Here is an 8,420-nt window from a genome sequence, read left to right as displayed (position 1 = left end):
GGGTTTCAATCAGGTCATAACATGAAGTCAGTATCTGTGATCATTGCATTATTCACAGGAGCAGAGGCTTGTGGAAATAAAGGGAGGCACTCCAGTCCCCAACACACCCAGTGTCTTTTCACTCTGTCATTGGACGGAAATTTCTCCCCACTGGATCGGGACTTGAAGATTTCGCGAGACTTGTTGCTTACCTTGCAAGAGATCGTCTTTCTCTTTGGCACCCTGAATAATTTTGACTCACTTGGACAAATAATTCAGAGTATTTACAGATACCACTTGACAGGGGATTTGCCAATACTTAGGCAAACTTTGGTTTGGTGTAACTGGTGGGCTGTCGTGCAAAGCCAGGAGGCTAGCAGTAGCTTTACTATAAGTTCCCTACCAAGGAGCAGTAACTCATTAAGTCCTTCACAACTTTTTCATTTTAGCTCCTGTTGAGTGGTAGGCAGCATGGTCCTGTGGGGTTGAGACTAGAGTCAGCTAAGTTTGATTGGGACAAGGATTGTGAAATCTGAGCCTGAGGCTCTCAGTGAAAGAGTCAGGCACAACACAGTAGAGAGAGGTCAAAGTCAGCCACGGGACAAATGGAGAGGACTGCAAATGACAAACTTATTTTGGAGAGATATGTGGTGTGCATTAGTAGGCATGGCTGAGAGTTCCCAGAGGCTGAGGCCATCCCTTTAAGGACTGAAACCATAATGTCAGCTGTTGTTGATGTTCATGTCCTACACACTGTTAAATATTGCTAAGCTTTGGGAGGAAATGTTGGCCCCATCATATGTCACAGTCAACCCGGGGCAGTCTCTGTTTATGCTGATGGTCCCAAGCTCATTATTAACAGCACCCCTTTCATTCTCAAAAGTCTACTTGTTTGGAAAGTGCCTGGTATGATCACACCAGATAAGGAAAGTGGATGTTGCTGCTTTCTTTTTACATATCAGAGATACCTCAAGCTTTGAGGTGCTCCTCTCCCAACTTTAAGGCTCTCTTAAAATATCTTTTTATATCTTTAATATGCTCACATTTTTCTCCACCTTCTTGAACATATGGAATGTAGTTATAACTGTTTTGATGTCCTTGTCTACTAACTCCTGCATCTATGTTATTTCTGGGTCTGTTTATGTTGATCAGTTTCCCTCCCGCTCATTGTCCATTATGTTCCCTTGCTACTTTGCATGTCTGGTAATTTTTGAGTGGATGGCCAGATGTAATTTTTATCTTGTTGGATGTCAGATATTTCTGTATTCTTTTAAGTATTCTTGGTCTGTTCTGGGACATACTTAAGTTGCTTGGAAACAGTTAATCTTTTTGAAGTTTGCTTTCAAGCATGGTTAGATGGAACCAGAACAGCCTTTGGTGCAGGGATTTTTTTTTTTCCAAGTCAGATGGGTGATGTGCCGACATCATAACGAGGTTTGAGGGAGGCACATCTCACACATGAGCAAAAAACCCAATCATCACACTTATGAACCACAAAAGAACCTGGTCTAGGGGTACTTTTTTCCTTTTGAGGGCACGACCATGTATTACAAGATTTCTCCACTCTGCTATGGGGACATCAAAGTTCCTTGCCCCTAGCTCAGGGATGATTCCACCCACTCACTCCTGATGGGTGCAGCTTCTTCACATCCACACCCTGACCAGTACTCAGCTGAAGAGTAGAGGAACCCCCTTTCCATCTCCAGACTCTCCTTCTGTGCAGGTCTCTCTGTGCAGCTCTCTTCCCTGTGAAGCTCTCTTTCCTCCATTACTCTCCTCTACGGGGTTAGCCAGAGTGTCTCCCTGAATTCTCACTTGTGTCCATAAACCAGTAGGCTTTGTTTAGATTCCATCTTTTTGCACCATCACTTAACTGAAAACGCTGTCCACCTGGTAAGCCGGGGCATCTCAGGGCTCACCTTGCTTGTTCCCCCTTTTCTCAGGAATCTCTGTCCTCTGCTGCCTCTTTTCCAGTGTCTGAAATTATTTAAAATTATTTCCATTTGTTGTTGTTTTTTAAGGTAAGAGGGTGAATCTGATCCATGTTACTCCATCATGGCCAGAAGTGCAAGTCCTGAGTATTGGGCTGTTTCAGCTTCTGTATCTTTGGGACTAATGCATTCTCTTCTCTAATTTCAGTGTCAATGTATCTTCTCCCTCTGCACTGGTTTTGCTAATGGTCAACACCTTAGCAGCTATTGCCTTAGATCCTCTTCTTTACCATCTTCTGTTGTTCTCTTCACTTGTTTAGTTCTTGTCTAGTTTCTCCTCTCATTCTTCCCAGCTTTTGCACAAGGTGGCTGGTCCTCCACAGATATCACCATCTGTGGGATCAGACCATAAATTTCTTTTTAGCAGATCCCACTGACAGTCCATTGGCTTCCACCTTCCAAATGTCCACATTTTTTGCCTGCATTTATTTTTGCAACAGTGTTCTGCCACTGCAGCTTCACCAGCAAAACAGCTATGGCCAGCCTGTCTGTCTGTCTGTCTGTCTGTCTGTCTGTCTGTCTGTCTGTCTGTCTATCCATCTGTCTTTCTATCATCTATGTATTGCCTATCTATTTCATCTATTATCTATCATCTGTCTATCACCTATCATTTATCTATACATCGTCTATTTATCAATCATCTATTTATTCTATTTGATCTCTGTATCTATCATCTATTATCTATCATTTATCCATCATTTATCTGTCCATCATCTATCAATCATGTATCTATTCAATTTCATCTATCATCTATCCATCATCTACTTACCAATCATCTATTTATTCTATCTTATCTATCCATCCACTGCCTATCTTTTCATCCATCCATTTATCCATTATGTATTTATCTTTCATGATTATTATTTTTACCACTGCTTCTCCCTGGCTGAAGTTGTTGTGCATGGAGGAAAGCTCCAGCAGGCTGGTGTCACTTTTTGTTAAGGGTTATCACCAGAGTGCAGTGCAGGGTGTGCCCATTTTCACCAAGGCTTTATGCCAGACACTGTTAGACCTGGGATATTTACGGATTAGTTTACCCTTCAGCTGATGAATCCATTTGTCCCTTTAGGCAATTAAATATTTCAGTTATGATCTTTATGTTATTTAAATCGTTGAGATCAGGCTTCCTTTTATTCCTCTTAGTTCCCTGTTGAAGTCCCAAACTCTGAAAACATAACAGATCATCTGTCTCTCACAATTGTTAACATAATAGATCATCTGTGTCTCACAACTGTTAAATGTGCCTATAAACAAACTCTCCCCGATGTATGGTGTCCCTTTTTGCTTTCCTTTCTTCTTTTCTAGATTAATTCATTCCACAAACTTTTATTGACCACCTATTATTGCATGGACTCTACTAGGTGATAGATACAAAGATGAGTAATCCATGTCTGTCTTTTGGGATGCTAGCTTTGAAGATGATCACAACCCAATATGGTAAGTACCACGACAGAGGGGCAGAGGTGAGCACAGGGTGCCACGAGAGGAAGGAGATGGGGGCCAAGTCCACATTTTCTAGCATTGACCTTACCTTATATAGGAGTGTGGAGGGGTTAGCAGGGAAAGAGTGTGACAGATATGGGAGGATAAGCACAAAGATGAGCGTGAAGGCCATTTGAGATAAAGTACGGAGTTTGCTTTGACTAGATTGTGGAGGCACAGGGTAGGAAGGACAAGGGTCAAAAATGGAGAGGGTGGGCAGGTAACAGATCATGAAGGATCTTATATGGCATGTGAAGACTTTTGGACTTTATACAGAAGTGTCTAGAGTCAGTGAGGTGAAAGGACCAGATTAGAGTGGAAAATGGATTATGTTGGAACAAGACTAGAGAAAGAATAACTGAGGGACTTGGTGTACTTGGTTTAATTCAGATGAGAAACAATGATGAACTAAAGGCACCACTGCTGGGTGGAGAGAGAGAGGGAGAGAGAAAGGGAGAAATGGAGAAAGATGAAATCAGGAAATATGCAAGGCAAACCTGAGAGAACTCAGTTGTAGAGGGAAGAAGATAGAGAGGAGTCCAAGTCCGAGGTGACCCTTGGGTCTCCAGCATGAATGGTTGTAAGAATACCTGGGCTATTCACTGGAATAGTGGATATTAAAGAAAGAACGTATTTGGACTACAAGATTATGAGCTAAATTTTGGATACTTTTGATATATTGAATTTGAACTGTTTGTGACATGTAACTGGAGCCATCTGAAAGCTAATTGGATGTATGGTTTAGCAGCTCAGTAGAGACTTTGGGAGTGATATAGCAGTCTTCAGCTTATAAAGGATAAGTCCAAAGGATGGTGGAGACTGGGGGTGGAGGCAGGTCACTCTCATGCAACAAAATTGCACTTGCAGCCTGTAATTACGTGCTTTCCAGATCTTTACTGTCTTATTTTCTTTTCTAAAGAGTTGTGAAAACATGACTTCTGGCATTGTCTGTCTTTGTCATTACATCTGATAGCTATAAGAATATTTAACAATGAATTAAGCAATTTTTACATTTATACTTTCAATCTGCGTATCTGCATTTTTTTCTGCTGGCTAGGGAGAAAGAAGGGTGTGCCAACTACATTCCTGCGTAAGGCTGTGTGAGGCGCTGCACCACACCCCTGCACACTCGGCTCCTCCAGTGGAAACGTGGAGCCTCAGTTATACAAGTGACCCTCACTGGCTTGTTGGGTGTTTTAGTTTTTACCCCGTAACACTGAACTTTGTTACACAGAATGTCCTGTGATTTCCCAACACAGTAGGTATCTTCCTGAGTTTCTCGACCGGTAGTTTCACATTGGTCAGAATTCCTCTGTTGGCCAAGCTTAATCTTACACATTGATTGTTTTAGTGACCTATTGATGTGAAGGTGGAGTTTTGGGACTTTACTCAGGTTTCTCAGTGCGGTGGTAGAAAATGACCTTGAAAGTGAGACAGATCTGGGGTTGATCCCAGCTCTGTGACTGACTGGCTCTGTGATGAAGGAAAGTCTCTAACCTCTCTGAGACTGAATTTCTATAGCTAAGAATCAAGGAAGAAATAAGGTTGTCATGGGGTTGTTGCAGGATCTGATGATACGCGTGAAGTGCTCAGTGCAGAGACTGAAACCTGCAGAAGAGCTTAATGAGCTGGTCATTGTCGATGTCATTTCTGTCATACTTACTCTGTGCTCTGGGGGTCAGTTTTGCTCAGTTCAACTAGCGCTTAGTGAGAACCTTGTGCTTTGCCCAGGCCTTGCATTGGTGTTCCTCCTTGGGGGTGGGGGAAGCACATTCTAAGTTTTAAGAAATGAATTAATATCCTCAAAGAATTTACCCTAAAGTTAAGTTAAATCGCCGTTATTTCCTACTTTACATTTCCTGTGGTACCCACTCCCTTCCTCCATCCAAAGGAAATATTTTAAAAGGATTTCCCAATCTTCTTTGGACTTTGGGAGAATTTTGGTCTACGGTGATGAGGCTTTCCCACTCCATGTTGCCATCTGGAATTCTTTGTTCAGGCTTTGGCCAGAAAAAACACCGCCACCACCACCAACACACTAACTTAGGAAAATAACATTTGGCAGGAACTTGGCAACAATAACCCTTTGTTGCCAGAATCCTTGTTCACAGTGTGGGTGGCTCAGATGGCACTTAATTAAATGTATTTCCCTATAAATTCTCACAGTGTGCTTATTTTCACTGATGTCTAATAACCACCCTATCTCTAAAGCAACCAAATTTCACAGCCTGCAAAACAGGGAAATCAGCCTGTGTAAATAACATATTGCTTTTGTTAGTACTCAGCCATATTCCTCATCATTCTGAGTGACAGTGGACTTATCTGTTATTATTTCCCACTGAATGCTTTGTCATTCAGTATTTTCCTACTACCTGGAGTGACTATATAATAAAAATAATACCTACTATTTTCAGTGTCAACTATGAGTCATGCACTGTACTGGGCATGTATTCATTATCTCAATGAATCTTCACCGTCTTTGTGATAGGTACCAGTATTCTCATCTAAAAGATGGGAAAAAATACAGTGACTCCATCTCCACAAAAAATTTTTTTAAACAATTTAGCCACGTGTGTGGCACACACTTATAGTTCCTGCTACTTTGGAGGCTGAAGCTGGAGGATCACTTAAACCCAGGAGGTCGAGGCTGCAATGAGCTGTGATTGCACCACTGCACTCCAGCCTGGGAAACAGAGCAACGCCCTGTCTCACACACAAAAAAAGGAAAAAATGAGGAAAAGAAGCCTGAAAAAGGTTAAATATTTTGCCCAAGAACGTACCACTGGACTGGGAGTGATGGGCCTGGCCAACACGGCAAAAACACGTCTCTACTAAAAAATACAAAAATTAGCTGGGCATGGTGGTGCACACCTGTAATTCCAGCTACTTGGGAAGCTGAGGCAGGAGAATCGCTTGAACCTGGGAGGCGGAGTTTGCAGTGAACCAAGATTGTGCCACTGCACTCCAGCCTGGGTGGCAGAGCAAGACACTGTCTCATTAAAAAAAAAAAAAAAAAAAAAGAATTTGGCAATTATTTTCAGCATTTTAAAGACACCATCCCATTGTCTTCTGGATTCTACTGTTTCTTCTGGAAGATCAGCTATCAGCATAATTGTTACTCCTTTGAGTATGATGTGTGCTTCTCTCTGGCTGCCTCCAGCCCTCACCCTCGGCTGTTTTGAAGATTCTCCTGTGTTTTTTATTTTCAGCATGTGTGCCCATGAGGTTTTCAGCAAGATGTCACTGTGATGTATCTCAATGCTTATTTTTTGCCTTCTGAATTTATTCTGCTTTAATCTTGTAGAGCTTCTTAAATCTGCAGATTAATGTCTTTAGCATTTTGGGAACATTTCTGGCCAGTGCCTCTGTAAATATTGTTTGTGTCCCTTTATTCCCCAGCCCCTTTTCCTAGAATTCTAATGACCTGTACATTAGACCTTATCACTGTGGCTTATGTTTTTCAATCTGTGTATTCACTTATTTGCGGTTTCTTTTTCTCCAAATTCTTTGCTTCTCTAGTTCTGAAGCCTCAGTAGTCCCGGATTCCAGGTTTTGGAGTGAAGCCTCCTGAACACTGAGTCTCTGCCTTTGTGTTAGTGTTGCTTGGGAAATAGCAGATGCTTGAAGGGGAGAAGCAAGGAATGACATTGGACTCACCTGTTGGGGGCTTTTTCTCTGGCATCGTTGCCCCTCCAGTACTGGCTGACTTGGTTATTCTCTGTTGTCTTTCAACAACGTGTTTTTTATTTTGTGCAGCTTTTGTAGTTAGGATGTAGTGCAGGACGGTCGGATTGATGCACGTCACTCCATCAGAGCCAGAAATGGAAGTTCTGGTTTAATAAGTTTGAGTTAGAAGTTCCGTTTCTTTTCTTTGGTCTCATTTTTCCTAGTCAGGTAATGAAATACATATTACAGAGGCCATAGTACTGAAATTAAAATTTTAAAAACTAGATTTTCATTCTAGAATCAATGGAAAATTGCTTTGCGATGATGAGCCTTCTGGTTTCAATTTCTTTGTCTGTAAAATGGACACGATCTCATCTACATCATTAGCAGGCTATTGTTTTTTTTTAAAAAAAGTTTTTTTTTTTTTCCTGACAAAATGCTCTCATTATTCTTCCTCATTCTTTTGTAAGTTAGCTCCACGGGGAATTGAGAAATGAATTCTTAACTAAAAACCTTACAGTAAGAGCCGGCGGCAGCAGTCATGCTTACACTGTGTCATGCCCGTGTTTACCACCTCCTCACCCTCAAAGAACATGGGGCAGAAGGGCGAGCAGATGCTAACTCAGTGTGCAGCCAGTCGGAGGGCAGTGGGGGTTCAGTTTGTAATACCCGTACAGGCTGGAGTCTGCACAGCATTCGGAAGAGATTTCAGGTATTTTCTAACAGGAAAGAGAAATGCGTGTGTTCACAGAGGTGACTCTTACCTACATGGAACACCTGCGCCCATTTCAGAAAACCACAGCGTTACGAGAGTGGATACGTGCCTGTTAATTTGAGCACTGCTAAGTACATAAATAGATGATCCGTTAATGTACACAGCTTGGTCGTCTCAGTAAGCCAGAATTGAGTCAACCTTTTTCCAGGTTAACCTAATCTAAAAATAACACTTTCATCTCTTATTAATAGGCTAGTTGTTATCTAATGTTTTGCTGTGGGTTCAGGGTTCCAGAATAAATCATGCTTTGATTACAGGGTGGATCAAGTTAACGTTGACTTACTCAGGATGAGGCTGGGCAGAGCTGTGGCCTGTCCCAAGTCTCATCTAAGACAGAACTCATCAAATCCTAGGTCTTGTTTATGTCATGCAGGAGAAGGTACAGAAATGCTTGTATTTTATCTGGCAAGAGGCACAGTGTGGCTGGAGCAGGGGAGGGAACAAAGCATCTAAAAATATTCTTTCTTGCTTTTAGTCCTAGTAAGAGATTTTGTCCCATTATTAATCCAAGTTATGAACTAGAAGGA

The 8,420-nt window shown here is 41.8% G+C and overlaps 1 non-coding gene across 1 annotated transcript; it reads right to left on the bottom strand.

Moving 5' to 3' along the window:
* Window positions 1–1,379: 1,379 nt before the first annotated feature.
* Window positions 1,380–1,482, bottom strand: LOC124901532 (small nucleolar RNA U13). The gene has a single exon (XR_007059963.1). It is a non-coding gene; the product is annotated as a small nucleolar RNA U13 (small nucleolar RNA).
* Between the last annotated feature and the right edge of the window lie 6,938 nt (window positions 1,483–8,420).

The sequence above is a fragment of the Homo sapiens genome, chromosome 6 (assembly GCF_000001405.40).
Source record: "Homo sapiens chromosome 6, GRCh38.p14 Primary Assembly".
Lineage (NCBI taxonomy): Eukaryota > Metazoa > Chordata > Mammalia > Primates > Hominidae > Homo > Homo sapiens.
The sequence above is the reverse complement of the archived record's forward strand: the minus strand, read 5'-3'. Positions and strand labels throughout refer to the sequence as shown.